The following is a 20,780-nucleotide window of genomic DNA, read 5'->3' on the forward strand; positions in this document are numbered from 1 at the left end:
GACTCACATTTGTAATCCCAGCTCTTTGGGAGGCCAAGGCAGGCAGATCCCCTGAGCCCAGGAGTTGACCAACCTAGTGAGACCATGTCTCTAAAAAATATATTAAAAAACTTAAAGAGTCTAGGCTGGGTGTGGAGGCCGAGGCAGGAAGATTGCTTGAGACTAAGAGTTCGAGACCAGCCTGGGCAACATGACAAAACCCCATCTCTACACAAAATACAAAAATTTGTTGGACATGGTGACACGGGCCTGTGGTCCCAGCCACTTGGAGGCTGAGGTGGGAGGATCACTTGAGCCTGGGAGGTCGAGGCTACAGTGAGCCGTGATCTTGCCTCTGCAGTCCAGCCTGGGTGACAGAGCAAAACCCTGTCTCAAATAAGAAACAGAATACCAAAAAACTCCACAATGATTTGTCATATATATTTAAAGAGAAAAAAAATTTTTGAAGAGTCAAAATATGAATTTAAAAATATTTATATTTCAAAAGAATTTGTATTTGTGTGCTTATAAAATATTTAGATACACATTGGAAGTCAAAAGCTCCCCATGATCCCAACTGTCCCAGGAGAAAATCTCTAATCACATTTTTGGGGTATATCTTTTTTTCCTTTAAAAAAATTAAGACAGGCCTGGTGCAGTGCTCACGCCTGTAATCCTAGCACTTTGGGAGGCTGAGGTGGGCGGATCACCTGAGGTCGGGAGTTTGAGATCAGCCTGGCCAACATGGTGAAACCCCGTCTCTGCTGAAAATACAAACATTAGCCAGCCATGGTGGTTCACACCTGTAATCCCAGCTACTTGGGAGGCTGAGGCACGAGAATCACTTGAACCTGGGAGACTGAGGTTGCAGTGAGCCAATATTACACCACTGCACTCCAGCCTGGGTGACAGAGCAAGACTCCATCTCAAAAATAATAATAATATCTAGAGTCACTATCAATAGTTGGATGTAGCTTTTATTTTAAATAATAGAATGAATCCTTAAGTTCAGATATAGAGGAAGGCAATCAAACACTTGCTGAATACCAGCCCTTTTCAGCTACTCGGGAGGCTGAGGCAAGAGAATCGCTTGAACCCGGGAGGCAGAGGTTGCAGTGAGCCAAGATCGCACCATTGCACTCCAGCCTGGGTGACAAGCGTGAAACTCTGTCTCAAAAATAAATAAATAAATAGATAATTAAAACATGATAATATACAGTATATAGGAAAGTGTCCAATTCTTAAGTACAAATTGCTGAATTTTTACCCATGTTTAACCTATGCTTACATAATCACCACTAAGATCAAGATGTAGATCAGTATGCTGGGGGTCTTTCTCTCTCTCTCTCTCTCTCTCTCTCTCTCTATATATATATATATAATATATATATATATATTTTGAGACAGATGCTCTCTATCACTCAGGCTGCAGTGCAGTGGCACTATCTCGGCTCACTGCAGCCTCTGCCTCCCGGGTTCAAGCAATTCTCCTGCCTCAGTCACTTGAGTAGCTGAGAGTATAGGTGTGCCACCACCCCTGGCTAATTTTCGTATTTTTAGTAGAGATGGGGTCTCACCCTGTTGGTCAGGCTGGTCTCGAATGCCTGACCTCAAATGATCTGCCGACCTCTATCTCTGAAAGTGCTGGGATTATAGGCATGAGCCACTGCACCCAGCCTAGATTTTTTTTTCTATTTATAGACCAGTAATCATGTACATATCCAAATATATCCTAATATGTACAATATCCATCTGTATACTAACCTACACATGAGCAAATACATGCATATGCTAATATCCAATACAATTTTGTGTACTGAATGTAATTATCTCTCAAAAACGAGATCATCCTTTATGTAATATTCTACACTTTTCCATATCAATACATATCAAGAGATAAAGTATGATCCTGTTCATTCACACATGTATTAATTTACCAATCCAATCAACAAATACTTTTTTTGAAATTATCCAATATACTCAGCTATGTGTCACTGAAAGGATTTAAACAGTGGAGCAACATAAAGAGGAGAAATATAATCAACTTTCTTTTTTATTTATTTGTTTATTTTATTTATGTATTTTTTTGAGACAGAGTCTCACTCTGTCACTCAGGCTGGAGTGCAGTGGCAGGATCTTGGCTCACTGCAACCTCTGTCTCCTGGGTTCAAGTGATTGTCGTGCCTCAGCCTCCCAAGTAGCTGGGACTACAGGTGCCCGCCACCACTTCCAGCTAACTTTTGTATTTTTAGTAGAGATGAGGTTTCACCATGTTGGCCAGGCTGGTCTCGAACTCCTGACCTCAGGTGATTTGCCCCCCTTGGCCTCCCACAGTGCTGGGATTACAGGTGTGAACCACCACACTCAGCCAGGACTCTTTATTTTTCTATTAAAAAAATATTTATTAGGCCAGGCGTGGTGGCTCATGCCTGTAATCTAGCACTGTGGGAGGCCGAGGCAGGCAGATCACCTGTGGGCAACATAGCAGGATCCTGTCTCTACAAAAAATATAAAAATTAGCCAGGTGTGGTGGCGTGCACCATAGTCCCAGCTACTCGGGAGGCTGAGGTGTGAAGATCACCTGAGCCGGGGAGGTTGAGGCTGCAGTGAGCCATGATTATGCCACTGCACTCCAGCTTGAGTGACAGAGTGAGACCCTGTCGTAGGGAAAACAAACAAACAAACAAAAAAACCCAAATTAAAAAAAAATTCATCTTTCTTACTTCACAACATCTCTTAGAGACCAGTCCCATCAGTATATAAGGAGCATCTCATTCTTTTTTGCCACTGCACAATATTCCATGGAATTGATGGACATTTTCCGTTTCAAACCCAACCCAGCAGCCCGGGGTTGTGTAGTCCCTGCCAGACTTGTCTCTGCTCTTGGCCAGAGAACACATAGGTGGGCTGGGTGGGAGGCAGGGCTCTGAGGGTTGGCCAAGTTCCCCGGCCTGTCTGGGGATTCTTGGAGCTAGAGTTGAGGGACACATCTTCCTGCCTTCCCAATTCTTTGCCCCCGGGAGGCATCCTGTGGCCCCATCCTGTTCCCATTCTGTTATTTCAAGAAGCTGCCCTGGCTTATTTCTGGTCCTTTTCTCCCTTGTCTCTGTGGCCAACTGGGTCACCAGCTGGCCTCAGGGGCCTCCACCCACCCCACATCCGTTCTCGACCTCTCACCCACGCAGGCGTCCAGCTGTTCCACAGCTGTGTCAGAGCCCCCAGGCCTGTGTCCACATTCTCTGGGGCAGTTGCCAGGCAGTCAGGGTCACCCTTGGTCATGGGATAAAAGGACTCACTTAATGAGTACCTACTATGTGTGAGGTTGTCTGGTAGCCTTTTGCAGGTTTATGTTTAATTCTCGTAACAATCCTGCCAAATAGATATTCTTATTCCCATGTTATGGATAGGGAAACAGGCTCAGAGTCAGAGATGGGGAATGATGGGGGAGCCTGAATTTGAACCCACCCATTTTATGGATGGGGAAACAGGCTCAGAGAGCAGATGTCAGAGATGGGGAATGATGGGGGAGCCTGAATTTGAACCCACTGGTGCCAGAAGTCTTGGTTACCCTTGTACCCTTGGGGTTCCTGAGTCATTAAGCAGTAAGCCTCAGTAAATATATGCTGAATGAATGAATGAAAGAATGAGTTTGAGAGATATTTCCTGGGCAAGTCCTATATGTCAGGCACTGGTCTAGGGGCTAGAGATAGAGCAGTGACCAAACAGCTTTCTTGGCACTGAAATTCTAATGGGGAAGACAATCTAAATAAGTAAGCAAGCAAGCAAAAATAAGATGATGAGGCGGGGCGCAGTGGCTCACTCCTGTAATCCCAGACCTTTGGGAGGCCCAGGCAGGCGGATCACCTGGGGTCAGGAGTTGGAGAGCAGCCTGGCCAACATGTGAAACCTCATCTCTACTAAAAATACAAAAAATAGCTTGACGTGATTGTGCACGTCTGTAATCCCAGCTACTCGGGAGGCTGAGGCACGAGAATTGCTTGAACCCTGGAGGTGGAGGTTGCCATGAGCTGAGGTCACACCACGGCACTCCAGCCTGGGTGACAGAGAAAGACTGTCTAAAAAAAAATAAAAAAAAGATAGTAAGATAGTGACAGGCTCTACGGGAGAATTCTAATAAGATGGTGTAGTAGGCAGTAGCTGGGTGGGAGTGAGAGTGGGTGTGCCTCATTTATATAGGAATGGGGTCTCTAAAGAGGCGACTTTTGGACTGAGATCTAAATGGCAAGGTCAAGCCAGCTACACAAATAGGTAGGAGAGGGGAGAGGATTTCAGGTGAAAGGAACAGCACATGCAAAGGCCCTGAGGTCAGATGAAGCCTGGTGTGTATGGGGAACAGGGAGGATGCATGTGGCTAGCATAGAATACAGGAAAGGCTGAAAGTTCAAGATATAGGCCACAGCCAGATGAAACAAGTGTGTGGCAGCTGCATAAAAACTTGGAGAGGCTGTTGAGTGCAGTGGCTCACACCTGTAATCCCAGCACTTTGGGAGGCTGGGGTGGGAGGATGGCTTGGACCCAGGAGGTTGAGGCTACAATGAGCTGTGATTGCGCCACTGCACTCCAGCCTGGGTGACAGAGTGAGACCCTTTCTCTAAAAAAACAAAAAAAAAAAAACAAAAAAAAAGCCATAAAATACAAAATAAAATAAATTTTTAAATAAAAACGTGGAGCGCTTAAGCAGGAGAATCATGCTTTCTCAGGGTGCTGTGTGGAGAGTAGGCTGTGGTGTGGCAAGAGAGGGAGTAGGGAGCAGGTTGAGGAAGTTCCTGAAGTCACCCTGGTCTGAGAAGGCAGTGAGCTGGACCAAGGTGGGAGCCGTGGAGACAAAATAAAGATTGGGGAAATGTTTGGAAGGAGAGCCAATAAAATGACGATGAGTTATAGTTGGGGGATTCAAGAGAAGAATCAAGGTTAAATCCTTGGTTTCTGGCTCAAGCAACTGGGCAGATGTGATGGGGCCATTTATCGAGATGGGGAATATGAAGGAGTAGGTTTCAGTGAGGGTGGTTGGAGAGCGAGGAGGATGAAATGGAGACTCTCTATTCTGGACGTGGCAGGTTTGCTATGGCCATTGTACCTTCCGGCTGACATGTCAGTTAGCAGGTGGATAATGGTCAGGGACTTAAGGTGAAGGCAGGGGAGGAGACTGATGAGTCATCCTATGAGTGATCCTTAAAGTCTCAAGACTGAGGAGATTGGGCAGGGAGTGAGTGAAGACAGTCCCCTTCCGGAGACAGGAGAGTGATGAAGATGGTTGTCACTCAGGGTGGAGGGCTGGCTTCCAGAATGGTGACTCGGTCGTCCGGGCGAAGAGGCTTAGGCCTGTAATCCTAGCAGTTCAGGAGGCTGAGGCAGGCAGATTACCTGAGGTCAGGACTTTGAGACCAGCCTGGCCAACATGGTGAAACCCCATCTCTACTAAAAATACAAAAATTATCCGGGTGTGGTGGCGCATGCCTGTAATTCCAGCTACTTGGGAGGCTGAGGTGGGAGAATCGCTTGAACCTGGGAGGCAGAGGTTGCAGTGAGCTGAAATCGCACCACTGTACTCCAGCCCAGACGACAGAGCGAGACTCGGTCTCAAAAAAAAAAAAAAAAAAAGAATGGTAACTTGGGACATCCAACAGCTCAGGCTTCTACCCATACCCAGTGGGGCCTGGAGGGGCCCTGACTGGGGTCGCTGTGATATTCTGGAAGCTGGATCTTAGCCACTGTCCTCAGGGTCTTTGACCTTTTATTTCAATGCCCTCATTCTGAAGGGCCTGAGCTGGTCATGATCTGGACTTGCTATTTCCCTAACATCTTCCTCCTAGAACTTCAGAAGCCTGGCTGGGGTGCTCAGGAAGCTGCTGTTCTCCCCTAAGGGGCAGGAAACTGGGACAGCAGGTACCTCATTCAAGGTCACAAGGGTTAGGGCAGGGCTGCCTACAGAACTGAGGAGGCCAATCCCTCTTCCATCCATGCCCACATTGGTTTGACTTATCACCAGGCTTTTGTTGTGCCAAGTGGAGTATGAAAACAAAAAACTCCTCGGAATAATGAAGATGTTTAGCAAGGGAGGAGGGAGAGAAGACATCCTGGATAATACAGCTTAAGGAGAGAAGAGAAGTTTAATACAGAAATCTGAAGCCAGGTACTGTGCATGTACCTGTGGTTTCAGCTACTTGAGAGGCTGAGGTGGGAGGATCACTTGAGCCCAGGAGATTGAGGCTGCAGTGAGCTATGATCACACCATTGCACTCCAGCCTGGGTGACATGAGCAAGACCCTGTCTCTAACAAAAAAGAAAAGTTTGACAACATTTAGTTCATAATATGTGATGTAATTCCATATTAGTCCGTTTTCACACTGCTATAAAGATACTACCTGAGACTGGGTAATTTATAAACAAAAGAGGTTTAATTGACTTACAGTTCTGCATGGCTGGGGAGGCCTCAGGAAACTTACAATGAGGGTGGAAGGAGAGAGAGCACAGGGGAAATGCCAGACACTTATCAAACAACCAGATCTGTGAGAACTCCCTCTCTATCACGAGAACAGCATGGAGAAAACCACCCCTATGATCCAATCACCTCCCATCAGGTCCCTCACTCAACACGTGGGGATTACAATTGGAGATGAGATTTGGAAGGGGACACAGAGCCAAACCATATCAAATATCATCCTTGGTCTCCACTAGGAAACTTAAGCAAAAGTACTGTATGTCAATGCTTTAGGGGTCAGGTTTGTGGTTTGGGGGTGGAACAATGTGCTGAAACCAGTCCTTGGAAGATTCTGGAGTCTCAACTACATATGGGTTATGTCGGGAATAGTTGAGGAATGCCATGGGATGCTTTCTGCTCCAGATTGGAACTCCTGGAGATTGGGAAACACATGAGTCACTTCTGGGCCCCCACTAACCAGCACTGTGCATGAACAGAGTAGGGGGTTCAGGAATTGTTTGTGGAATGAATGAACGAATGAGGAGAGGAGTAGGTCCCAGGCATGAGCCACTGCACCCAGCCTTTTCTTTGTTTTTTTCTGAGGTAGAGTCTGGCTTTGTCACCCAGGCTGAAGTGCAGTGGCACTGTCTCCACTCACTGCAACCTCCACCTCCCGGGTCCAAGTGATTCTCATGCCTCAGCCACCCAAGTAGCTAGGACTACAGGTGTGTGCCACCACACCTGGCTAATTTTGGTATTTTTAGTAGAGATGGGGTTTTGCCATATTGGCCAGGCTGGTCTCAAACTCCTGTCCTCAGGTGATTCGCCTACCTTGGCTTTCCAAAGTGCTGGGATTACACGTGTGAGCTGTTGTGCCCAGCCCAAATTCTTCTTAGCTTTGACTCTCTCTGACCTCTTTTAAGGGCTTACTGGATTAGGTCAGGCCACTTGAGGCATTTTCCCTTTTGATTAACTCAGATTCAATTGATTAGGGACCTTAATTACATCTGCAAAATCTCTTCTGCTTTATAATGTAACATAATCGTAAGAGTGATAACCCACTATCTTCATAAGTCTTTTTTTTTTTTTTTTTTTGAGGCAGAGTCTTGCTCTGTCACCCAGGCTGGAGTGCAATGGCGCTATCTTGGCTCACTGCAAGCTCCGCCTTCTGGGTTCACGCCATTCTCCTGCCTCAGCCTCCTGAGTAGCTGGGACTACAGGCACCCGCCACTGTGCCTGGCTAATTTTTTTTTGTATTTTTAGTAGAGATGGGGTTTCACCAAGTTAGCCAGGATGGTCTCGATCTCCTGACCTCGTGATCCACCCGCCTCGGCCTCCCAAAGTGCTGGGATTACAGGCGTGAGCCACCACACCCGGCCCATAAGTCTTGACACACACAAAGGGAGGAAAGTATACAGGGTATGTACACCAGGAGGTGGGATCTTGGGAACTGTTTTAGAATTCTGCTTACTACAACAGTGTAGCACCCTTCCACACTGAATAGTGCTGACCTGTGTGACCAGATGGATATTGCAGAAATGATGGTGTGTGATTTCCAGGTCTGAGTCATAAAAGACATTATGGCTTCTATCTTGCTCTTTCTTTCTTGGATCACTTGCTCTGGGGAAATCCAGCTGCCATGTTGTGAGGATACTCAAGCAGCCCTGAAAATCACAAACGTACACACACAAAGAATTTATTTAAAAAACACATGTGGCCTCCATCACTTGGAGTCTGTCACTTGGAGCCTGGAACTCAGAACTATCATGGCACAACCACAGTCCAAAACCTTCACTCTCATGACTTATACGATTTAGACTCCAGAGAAAAGCTTCTCCACATCCCTTAGATTAGGTCCTCAAAATAACAACTGTGTCCTAATGCAGTGAAAGTTCATGGGTTGGGCTGCTGCCAATGTTGGAGATGAATGTGCTTATAGGGGGCAAGGATAATTTAAGAATTTGAGGCACTTAGATAAGAGCAAAGACCAGTGAATTAATTTACCAAATTCTCCCTCTCTGGCTGGGCGTGGTGGCTTATGCCTGCAATCCCAGCACTTTGGGAGGCCGAGGTGGGAGGATCACTTGAGGTCAGGAAGTCAAGACCAGCCTGGCCAACATGATAAAACCCTGTCTTTACTAAAAATACAAAAATTAGCTGCTGTGGTGTCATGTACTTGTAGTCCCAGCTACTCAGGGGGCTGAGGCATGAGAATTGCTTGAACTTAGGAGGCAGAGGTTGCAGTGAGCTGAGATTGCGCCACTGCACTCCAGACTGAGACAGCCTTCTTTCTGTGTTCCACTTTGTGGTTCTGGAAGTCCTCACACATTAGTGTAATCTTTGCACAACTGCACAAGACAACTGTAGGGGACACATTCTAAAATGCTCCCCAGTGATCCCTGCCTTCTAGCATTCACACCCCTGTGTAATCCTCTCTGCTGGAGTATGGGAGGGCCCTGGGACCTGCTCTTAGCATATAGAATGCAGCAAAGGTAATAGGATTTCACATCTGTGACTACATGGCAGAGGATTGTAACTGCTGTCTTACATGCAGACTCTTCCAATTGATGTTCTTCTTTGCTGGCTTTGATGAAGTAAGCCACCAGAGGAGTTGGCCCATGTGCTTAGAAACTGAGGGTGACTTCCAGCCAACAGCCAGCAAGAAACTGAGGCACTTAGTCTGACAGCCTGAACTGGATGCACAACAACTGTATGACCTTAGAAGCAGATCCTTCCCCAGGCGAGTCTCAGATGAGACCCCAGCCCTGGCTTGACACCTTGATTGCAGCCTTATGAGACCCTGCAGCAGAGGACCCAACTAAGCCATTTCTGGATTCCTGACCACAGAAATGGTGAGATAGTAAATAAACTGCCAAATTTATGGTAATTTGTTAGGCAGCAATATATAACTACCACAACAAGAGGATCATTTAGAAACATTAAACAAATTGGCTGGGTACAGTGGCCCACATCTGTAATCCCTGCACTTTGGGAGGCCAAAGTGGGCAGATTGCTTGAGTCCAGGAATTCAAGACCAGCCTGGGCAACATGGTGAAACTCCATCTCTACTAAAAATAGAAAAATTAGCTTGGCATGGTGGCAGGCACCTGTAATCCCAGCTACTCAGGAGGCTGAGGCAGGAGAATCACTTGAACCAGGGAGGTGGAGGTTGCAGTGAGTCAAGGTCGCACCACTGTACTCCAGCCTGGGTGACAGAGCGAGACTCCGTCTCATAAAAAAGAAATACATAAAAAAGAAAGTTAAATGCATTTTATTTGACAACTGTAAGCTTGATTTATCCCATGAAGATGTTTAGCTGGTGTGGTGGCATGTACTTGTGAACCTCCCTTCATACTCTTGTCCTGGGTCCTGTGGCTGTCAGGGCAGGCTGGCTCAAGCTTACTCACCTGGTAAATGGAGCTGAGATTCAAGCTTGGACCCCGAGGTCTGGGCTGTGTGAGATGGGACCCTGCCCTGGGTCAGCTCATCTTCCAGGTAGGAAGCTGCCACCTCAGGAAGCCGATGGGAACTGAAAGACTCTATGGTTAGAGGCAGGAGAACGACATAATTTGTGGGGCCATTTACAGAAAGAAAATGCATAGCCCCTTGTTTACCAATGACTAAGAATTTCCAAATGCTGACAGTAGATCATATGAGGCATCCTAAGGGCAAGCATGAGATCCTTCTAAGGGTAGAGTCCTATGCAACTGCATGGGTCGCATGCCACTGGTGGGGGGCTTCCTGGAGGTGGTGGCATTGGGTTCTCTCAATCCCCCTGATAATAGACAGGATTGAGTGTGGTGGAAAGAAGGGGCAAGAGCCAACGGAAAAGATGAGGATCATCTATGTATAGGACTCATCAGTGGCTTCTTTTAAAAATGAATTTATTTAAACAAAAATATCAGTCATTTAAAGAAAAAATTAAGGAAATAAGAGCACATGTGATGTACAGATATGGAGAAAAAAATTGAGTTGTGTCATTTGAACGACTGGAGTTTGGGAAATTGCTATCTGGGTGTGTGCATCTACAGTGTGTAATTGTGAATCTATGCATGGGAGTCTGCATATGGATCTTTGATTGTATCCATGGAAATGAGTGAGTCTATGAGTGTGGGTGTGTGATATATTTATAAAAGTATGTGAAAGTGACAGTGTGTCTGAGCACATGTTATTGTGTGACTGTGTATAAGGGGGTCTGGGGAGGAAAATTTTTCTTATCCTAAGCTTCTCCAAGGGAAATGTACAATTGTGGACTTGTTTACACTGAGCACATCTCTAATACTTCTGTATCTGTCAGCTATTGCCACAATAATGCTGTGTAACAAGTATCTCTCTACCCCACTTAGTGGCTTCAAATGACAAACAGAAATGGGAATAGACTGGGGATAAGAGTAAGACTTCTCTAAAAAAAAAAAAAAAAGAAAAGAAATGGGGAGAGATTGCTAATACAATAGGTATAGGGTTTCTTTTTGGGGTGATGAAAACATTCTAAAATTAATTGTGGTGATGGTTGCACAGCTATAAATATGCTAAAAACTGCTGGATTATACTGTTTACATTGGTGAATTTAACAGTACATGAATGACATTTCACATACTATTAAAAAGCCACAACAACAAACATTGATTTTCTTGCTTGTGAGTGTACGAATTAACTGTAGGTCTGCTGGAATCACTTGGGCTTGGCTCCTGGCTGCAGTTGTGTTCTGGTATGTTCCATGTATTTCTTCTACATTTTTTTTTTTAATCCTCTTGGGTCAGCAACTACTCAGGCATGTTCAAGGTGGCTAGCAGAAGTGCAAGGGGATGAGCAGACACATGTAATGTTTCTTAACACCTTGGCTTGGAGCTAGCACATCACCTCTGCACACATTCCACTGGCAAAAAATCTATGCCACTATCTATAGCTATTGCCAAGCCTGACATCAACAGGAAAGGGAAATAGACTTTCCTCACTCTCATGCATTTCAAGGTCATGTGACAGAAGGGAGTGAAGAATTAAGAAAGATAATCCTATCTACCACACCTGTGTAACATGGTGCTCCTTCTCCTCTGAGATCTACTTAAACATGGCATAGACCCAAATTCCAAGTTGGAGACAGCTTAAAGCCTCCCGTCAATTTCTGCCTGTTCCTGTATCTTATATCCTCTTGCTCTTCTCTTCCTCATACTCCTCCTGGTCTCAGGGCTCTTGTGACTGTGTGAGCTATCTTGCTCCCACCCTGAGTCAAAGCCAGGTTAAAAGCCCCACCCCCTCACTATTTTTGAGAAGAAACCCAGTCACACTCAGCATTTAGTACATGTAGTGATTTTGTGGAAGATTTGAAAGGTTATGCAGAAGGATTGCAAGTTGCACAACCTTCTACTGCATTTATGGCCCCGCCACTCTCCCATTCCTGGCGGAGACATTAGGGAAGGCTTCCTAGGGGAGGTGGCATTTGAACAGATCTTGAAGGCTGAGAAAGAGTGAGGCATAAGATGGTGGCAGGAAAGAACATTCCAGACAGAGGGAACAGCAGCATGGACAAGAGAGGAAACATCTGGTGTAGTCGAGAAAATGCAAGTCGTTGGCATGGCTGGAGTGGAAGATGTGAGCTGGGGAGTGCTGGGGGGGTGAGGCTAGAATGCTGCACAGGCCCATGAATGGCTTGTTCTGTGTTCAGCTAGGCTAGAACCACTTTTCCAGAATTACCATCTCCATATGGTTCTGGGTTGGCATTAGCCACAGGAGAAATTTGTATGAGATTTGGAAGGTGGGAGTGAAACTGAGCCATATTTTTAATGCTAAGAAGGTCAATGCAGAGCCCCAGACACTGTGGACACAGCTTCCAGTTGGTGCTCTCAGTTGTCCTTGTGGTTCCCAGTTCATCCTCAAGGTTCCAATTTTTCCTAGCTCTCATTCATGTCCAGCCTCCTCCTTGACAGCTGATATAAGTGACCCAGAGACAACATTAGTGAATAGAGTCCTCTACCAGCTCTCACAATTGTGTAAGGTCTAACCCTGTAATAAATCCCTTCTCTGATGCTCACAGTGGATCTCTGATTGAACCCTGAGTGATAGACCTTTGTGTGCCACACTGAGGAATTGGGGCTTCATCTTATAGACTTGTTTTTCTCAACTTTTTGTCATTTGAGGACTGCAGTGGCAGAGGTAATGCTAAATGTTCACCATTCTTATCTTCTTCCTGGGCTCGTGCTTTAGTTCCAGCCTCCCTTGCAGCTAAGTGGAACTATGTGATGAAGTTCTAGCCAATGGAATGTGGGCTAAAGTGAAGTGTTCATGTCTAGGCCTGGTCTCCCAAATCCTTCCACACGACACCACAGCCTCTCTCTCAGTTCTCTAGTTGGCCAGCTGAACGCAGAAGGTTCCATGGTGGACCCCAAGGTGTGGGGGGTTTCAGAGCCACTAGCTGGAAGGAGCCTGAGTTCCTGAATGACTCTGTGGAATCGAGACTCTGACTGCCTTGCACTGGGCTGTGACTTGAGAAGCATAACTTTATTATGTAAAGCCAGTGGGATTTGGAATTATTTGCTAGAGTGGGTAGCCAACATCTGTACCATTACTGATTTAATCACATTTTAAAAATAAGTTTACTCTTTTTTTTTTTTTTTTTTTTTTTTGAGGCGAAGTCTTGCTCTGCCACCCAGGCTGGAGTGCAGTGGTGCTATCTCGGCTCACTGCAAGCTCCGCCTCCTGGGTTCACACCATTCTCCTGCCTCAGCCTCCTGAGTAGCTGGGACTACAGGTGCCCACCACCACGCCCGGCTAATTTTTTGTATTTTTAGTAGAGATGGGGTTTCACCGTGTTAGCCAGGATGGTCTCGATCTCCTGACCTCGTGATCTGCCCGCCTCGGCCTCCCAAAGTGCTGGGATTACAGGCGTGAGCCACCGCACCCAGCCTCATTTTTTTTTTTTTTTTTTTTTTTTTAAGATGGAGTCTAGCTTTGTCACCCAGGCTGGAGTGTAGTAGCATGATCTCGGCTCACTGCAACCTCTGCCTCTTGGGTTCAAGCGATTCTCTTGCCTCAGCCTCCTGAGTAGTTGGGATTACAGGTGCCACCACGCCTGGCTAATTTTTGTATTTTTAGTGGAGACGGGGTTTCACCATGTTGACTAGGCTGGTCTCGAACTCCCGGTGTCAGGTGATCCACCTGCCTCGGCCTCCCAAAGTGCTGGGATTACAGGCGTGAGCTACCATGCCTGGCCAGTTTACTTTTTATAGCTTTAATTTATTTGAAAAGAACTTTTTATTACTATTTATAAATGCAAAAGCAGTATCACTCATAGTAGAGAGAAGGTAATGATAACAAAGAAGTGGTATGAAAATCAAACAATGATGTGATATTCTTTCCATATCTTGTTCAGGACAAGAGCTCCGAAGCCTGAGCCTGCTCTCACTTTGTTATAACGGGAGATTAACAAGTGCTTGACAGATGTTAAAGACAGGGTGGAACCAAACTAGACTTTTTCTGCAATATTCTTGAAACACCATATTATCATGATTATATGATAATCACACCATACTTTATGAAACTACATGAGGGAAATAAAACCGATGAATAATTTTTAAACATTCCTTACCATGGGAAATTTCTTTCTTTCTTTCTTTCTTTCTTTTTTTTTTTTTTGAGACAGGGTCTCACTCCATTACCCAGGCTGGAGTGCAGTGGTGATCTTGGCTCATTGCAACTTCTGCCTCCCAGGTTCAAGCGATTCTCCTGTCTCAGCCTCCTGAGTAGCTGAGATTACAGGCATGTGCCACCACACCCAGCTAATTTTTGTATTTTTAGTAGAGTCGGTGTTTCGCCATGTGGGCCGGGCTTGTCTCAAACTCCTGACCTCGGGTGGTCCACCCGCCTCGGCCTCCCAAAGTGCTGGGATTACAGGTATGAGCACCGTTCCTGGCCTGTAATGGAAAATTTCAGACACACACATATAAACATCATGAAGATAGTACCATAAACCCCTGGGTATGCATTACGCAGCTTTAACAACTACCAACCCTCTGCCATTCTTACTACATCTCCTACCCCTTACACATACCCTACTTCCTTTTCTTGATGGTCTTGTTGGAATATCTTTTTTTTTTTTTTTTTTTTTTGAGACAGGGTCTCACTCCGTCGCTGGAGTGCAGTGGCATGATCAGGGCTCACTGAAGCATTGAGCTTCTGGGCTCAAGCCATCCTCCCACCTCAGCCTCCAGAGTAGCTGGGACCACAGGCACGTGCCACTGTGCTTGGCTAATTTTTTAAATTTTTTGTAGAGACAGGGTCTTGCTATATTGCCCAGGCTGGTCTCAAACTCCTGGCCTCTAGCGATCCTCCAGCTTCGGCCTCCCAAAGTGCTAGGATTATAGGCATGAGCTACCATGCCCAGCCTGGAATATCTTTAAATAAATTCCAGACATCATAACACTGTAATACATATTTCTTTTTTTTTTTTTTTTGAGACAGAGTCTCACTTTGTCACCAGGCTGGAGCGCAGTGGTGTGACCTTGGCTCACTGCAACCTCCACCTCCTGGGTTCAAGTGATTCTCCTGCCTCAGCCTCCCAAGTAGCTGGGACTACAGGTGCGCACCACCACACCCACCTAATTTTTGTATTTTTAGTAGAGACGGGGTTTTGCCATGTTGGCCAGGATGGTCTCGATCTCTTGACCTCATGATCTGCCCGCCTCGGCCTCCCAAAGTGTTGGGATTATAGGCGTGAGCCACCGCACCCGGAATGCAATATGTATTTCTAACAATAAACGCATTAGAAAATATTCACAATACCATTATCATACTTAAAGAATTAACACTTCCTAAGCCGGGCGCTGTGGCTCACGCCTGTAATCCCAGCACTTTGGGAGGCTGAGAGCGGGTGGATCACCTGAGGTCGAGAGTTCAAGACCAGCCTGACCAACATGGAGAAACACCGTCTCTACTAAAAATACAAAATTAGCCAGGCATGGTGGCACATGCCTGTAATCCCAGCTACTCGGGAGGCTGAGGCAGGAGAATCGCTTGAACCTGGGAGGTGGAGGTTGCAGTGAGCCAAGATCGCACCATTGCACTCCAGCCTAGGCAACAAGAGCGAAACTCCGTCAAAAAAATAAATAAATAAAATTAAAAAACCACACTTCCTTGTTACCATCTAATATTCTATGTTCAATTTGCCCTAATGACTACAAAAATGAGGTTTTGCAGTTGGTCTGTTGAAGTCAGGATCTGAGCAAGGGCACACATTGCATTGATTGATATATACTTAGTCTCTTTCTACCCTGTGGGGGATTAATTGCCAAAAAATGGTCTCTTTCTGTATTCACGTCCTTCGCAAGGTGAAGGCGGCTTCTCTTGTTGAGGAGGAGTCTATTTTCAACCTTTGAATCTGGGCTTGGTCAGGTGACTTGCTTGGGCCAATAGAATGCAGCAGAAGTAAAAGTGAGTGCCGTCTCGGTCCCAGCCTTGATGCCTCTACGTGATTCTACATGCTTCTTGGACCCCTGCCTCAGCAAGGAGAGCAAGCCCAGGCAGCCTGCTGTGGGACAAGAGACTGTGGGCAGAAGAGCTGTGCCAGGTGAGGCTGTTCTAGGCCAGCCCATCTTCTGACCCGCCAGCTGACCACAGAACATGAGATCAGCCCAGCCCAGCTCAGCTGAACCTGGCCCAGACCAAAAGAGCCACAGCTTCTTGTGTAATAATAATTGTTATTTTAAAATCACTAAATTTGGCCAGGCGCAGTGGCTCACGCCTGTAATCCCAGCACTTTGGGAGGTCCAGGTGGTTGGATCACTTGAGCCCAGGAGTTCAGACCAGCCTGGGCAACAGGAAGAAACCCTGTGTCTACTAAAAATAGAAAAATTAGCTGGGTATGGTGGTGTGCGCCTGTGGTCTCCACTACTCAGGAGGCTGAGATGGGAGGGTCACCTGAGCCTGGGACTGGAGGTTGCCATGAGTCGAGATCTCACCATTGCACTCCAGCCTGGGCCACAGAGTGAGAACCTGTCTCAAAAAAATAAATAAATAAATAAATAAAAATAAAAAAATAGGCCAGGCGCAGTGGCTCACACCTGTAATCCCAGCACTTTGGGAGGCCAAGGTGGGCAGATCGCCTGAGGTAGGGAGTTCCAGACCAGCCTGACCAACATGGAGAAACCCTGTCTCTACTAAAAATAAAATTAGCCAGGCATGGTGGCACATGCCTCTAATCCCAGCTACTCGGGAGGCTGAGGCAGGAGAATCGCTTGAACCCTGGAGGCGGAGGTTGAGGTGAGCCGAGATTGTGTCATTGCACTCCAGCCTGGGCAACAAGAGCGAGACTCAGTCTCAAAATAAATAAAAAATAAATAAATCACTAAATTCTAGTGTAATTTATTATATAGTATTATTGTGGACAATAGATAACTGATACAAATCTACAAATTTCTTCCTGTTTTTTAAAATGTCATTTACTTGCTGAAGACCCTGGAGCCTTGTCCTTCCGTTTCCGACATTCTAGATTTTTGCTAATTACATTCCAGGTGTTATTTACTGTTAGCCTCCATATTCCTTGTAAATGGGTAGTTAATCTACAGGCTGGATTAGAGTCACATGGGGCAAGAACACTTTATAGAGATTCTTGTTCGCATCACATTAGGAAGCTCTCAATGTTTGGTTATCCCACTTGGAGTGATGTCAGGTTTGGTCAGTGGGTTCAGTGAATAATTTTAGACAAGGTTGGGACACCCAGGGGAGACTTCCTGGAGGAGTCAGGTTTGAGTTGAGCCTCTTTTTTAAAATGAATTTTATGTATTTATTTTTAAGACAGGGTCTTTTAAGACAGGATCTCTGCTCCGAGTTGAGCCTCTTTGAAAGATGGGTGGGATTTAGATAGGCAGAGAGAAGGAGGACACATCCAATGTGGGGAGGGAGGGGTGGATGGCATGAGTCAGAGAGTGTTTTGAAAATGCAGAGCAATAACCAGCAATAACCTTCTATCAGCTTCCTTTATTATCCTCTGGTATAGAGGTCAGGGCAGGAACCAGATTTTATCTCAGGTTGTAATTCTAATGGGTTGGTAATGGGTACATGGAATACTTTGTTGAGATACATTGTGAAACCACATTCTTGCTCAGTGGGAAACTTGCTGTAATTGACTGGTGGTGTCTGTCACAGATCTAGGAAGCCTTGGTGGTGGTACAATTGCTATGAATCTGCTCCAGATCAATGCCTCTGCTCCCGCCTCGGGGTCTTTGACATGGAAGCCCATAAGGAAATGAGGGCTGAAAGGGATATCTAACATGGACTGTGGCAGACCTTAGCAACATTCATTCACTTTTTTTTTTTTGAGGTGTAGTCTCACTCTGTCACCCAGACTGGAGCGCAGTGGCATGATCTCAGCTCGCTGCAACCTCCACCTCCCCAGTTCAAGCAATTCTCCTGCCTCAGCCTCCCAAGTAGCTGGGATTACAGGTGTGTGCCACCATGCAAAGCTAATTTTTGTATTTTTAGTAGAGAGGAGTTTTCACCATGTTGGCCAGGCTGGTCTAGAATTCCTGAGCTCAAGTGATCTACCCGCCTTGGCCTCCCAAAGTGCTGGGATTACTGGCATGAGGCACTGTGCCCAGCTGCTCCATTTCCTTTTAAGGAGAGCCCTGTTCCAGCTGCTGAAAGTGGTGTCCTCAGAGAGCATCCAGGTGTCAGGTCCTTGGGCTGAGCCCCTGCCTCACCTGCAGAAGGCCACCTTGCCCAAGGTCACATAAATTTCCTGGGATGTCCCACGTCTAGTAATTTTGATTAGGGGATATACAAAGGTCTGGCCATCTTGGCCCAATCTAGACAATTCTGAACAGCCATCTTAACTTCCTGTTTCCTGGTGGGGTTGGTAAATATGGTGTTGCACCTGCATTTCAGGTCAACTTCTCTCCCTACCCACTCCTGCTTCCTCTCTGCTCCTTCCCCAGGAGGTGATCTCAAGGGGGCTTCTTCAAATATCCCCTAAACACTAAATTCTATCTTAGAGTCTGCTTCCTGGGGATCCTAATGTGGGATACACATAAGTCAAACAGGAGTTTTGAGAAACAATATTTATCTTTTCTATGTGTCATGCATTCTCATATTATCTATACTATTTTATTTATTTTCATGTTGGTCATGACCCACTACATTGATTTCAGTCAGCCATGGCTTTGAAAACACCTGCCTGGGCTATGCCCGTGAAGCATGGAGGATGGTTAGCATGTCCTTTGGGCTGTCTTTGGCTGCAAGTAAAAGAGCGCCTGGCTAAACATGGATTAAATACTAGGGGTTCCTTTTTTGCATAATAGATTTGGTAATAGGTGATTTCAAAGTTAGTTCATCTCAACAGCTTCATCAATGACCTGGGTTCTTTCCATGTATTTCCTCTCTGATACCCTTGACATGTTGGCCATGTCTCCTCATAGTCACAGAATGGCTGTCGCTGCCACTGCCAGGTATCACATCCTCATACAACCACCTCTAAAGGAAGCAGGTGTGGAGAGCAGCTCCTCACACATTTATTTTATTCAGAAAAAAAAAAATTCTGCAGTTAAATTCAGAAAAAAAAAAAATTCTGCAGAAGCCCCAGGAACAGCCTTCTCCTTATGTCTCCTTGGCTAGAAGTGGGTCATTGTTTATGTCTAATGAATCTCTGCCCATCCAATACCTAAGGTTTCATTAGCAAAAACAAAAAGATGACTAGGCCGGGCACAGTGGCCCACTCCTGTAATCCCAGCACTTTGGGAGGCTGAGACGGGTGGATTACTTGAGGTCAGGAGTTCGAGACCAGTCTGGCCAACTTGGTGAAACCCCATCTCTACTAAAAATACAAAAATTAGCTGGGTGTGGCTGTGCGTGCCTGTAATCCCAGCTACTCAGGAGGCTGAGGCAGGAGGATTGCTTGAACTTGGGAGGCGGAGGTTGCAGTGAGCTGAGGTCATGTACTGCATTCCAGCCTGGGTGACAGAGCAAGACTCTGTCTCAAAAAAACAAAAAAAACAAAAAAAACCAAAGGAAATGGAGCATTTCATGCCCATCACAGTGTGTGTGTGTGTTTGTGTGTGTGTGTGTTTGTGTGTGTGTGTGTGTGTGTGTGTCACTAGATTGTGATGCAAATGTCTTCCTTATTGTGGGTCCTGGTCAGAGTGGTTTGCAAGCCCCTGGCTGGGCTGGGCTGTGCTTCTACCTGAGTTGTTTTTCTCCTAATTGCCTTGTGGGGTATAGTCACTTTTTCCAAGGCTCTGTTTGTGAGAAGCAGCCCTGCATTCATGAGGCAGCCCCCTGGCATATTTGAACACCAATGCCAGGCAGAGCTGTTGGTGCCTCCCATGCATTAAGAAATGGCAGCTGCTGCTGATGTCCCCAGATGAAAATGACTAAGGAGGGCTAAAGCCAAGCAATGTCACTGCTACCCCTGATGCATACACTCACAGGAGCCTTCTGGTTTCCAGGGTCCTCCTCTATCCTGTCTTGGCTGCCTCCTCCTTGACCCTTGGTTTCTTTCTTTCTCTGTCTCCCTTCCCAGAAGATTGTCTTCAGCAAATTGTATTTTAAGTCATGTAATGATGAGTTGGTTAGAGGCTCAGAGCTAGCTCTGCCCTTGGCAAAAATCTGGATGAACCTCTCACGCTGTTGGTTTGCAAAGCCCTCCATGTGTGGCTCTTTGCTTGTTGCCTGGAACAGCAGGGAGGGACAGGAGAGTAAGAACCTTATGGGCTGTGCTTCTGCCCTCTGGGAATGTAGGCTTGCGTGTCTGCAGAGCTCCCGTGTCAGGCTTCTTGTGTGCCCAACTGCCCTAGGGAGCGTGCTAAAAATGCAGATTCCTGGGCTGCTCCAAAAGTCCAGTGAGTGACCCGGGGATCTGTATTTTACAAAAACCAAAACTTTTCACTGACATAATTTCATCCTTAAAGAAAAGTCACAAGAATAGTTCCAAAGAGTGATGTATAGCTCATCACATTTGCTCTATCACTTCTCACTTTCCAGATATAAATATGCGTATTTTTTTTTCTGAATCATTTGAGAAGTTACAAACGTAATGCCTCTTTACCTGAGCTTACCTCCTGAGATCAAGGAAATTCTCTTACATAACTCAGCACTGAATTATGAAATTTAGGATACTTAGCATCAATGTGAATATCTAATCCACAGTACATGGTAAGTTTCCCTAATTGTCACCACCCCTTTATTTTTTAATGATCACACATTGCTTTAGTTATATTAGAACAAAAAATTCGTTCTCTTTTATTTTTTTTGAGACAGAGTCTCACTCTGTCGCCCAGGCTGAAGTGCAATGGTGTGATCTCGGCTCACTGCAACCTCTGCCTCCTGGGTTCAAGTGATTCTCATGCCTTAGCCTCCTGAGCAGCTGGGACTACAG

At 45.9% G+C, this 20,780-nt stretch overlaps 2 annotated features.

Annotated features, from left to right (window-relative positions):
* Positions 15,675-15,938: a transcriptional cis regulatory region, noted in NCBI's record as "candidate enhancer chr12.3641 targeted for multiplex CRISPR interference". NCBI's record gives its function as "positively regulates PPTC7 gene expression with high confidence in K562 cells {active_cell/tissue: K562}" and the evidence as "EXISTENCE:mutant phenotype evidence [ECO:0000015][PMID:30612741]".
* Positions 17,249-17,750: an enhancer, noted in NCBI's record as "NANOG hESC enhancer chr12:111246997-111247498 (GRCh37/hg19 assembly coordinates)". NCBI's record gives its function as "activates a minimal SCP1, AML or CMV promoter by ChIP-STARR-seq in naive H9 embryonic stem cells {active_cell/tissue: H9 hESC(naive)}" and the evidence as "EXISTENCE:reporter gene assay evidence [ECO:0000049][PMID:30033119]".

The sequence above is a fragment of the Homo sapiens genome, chromosome 12 (assembly GCF_000001405.40).
Source record: "Homo sapiens chromosome 12, GRCh38.p14 Primary Assembly".
Classification (NCBI taxonomy): Eukaryota; Metazoa; Chordata; class Mammalia; order Primates; family Hominidae; genus Homo; species Homo sapiens.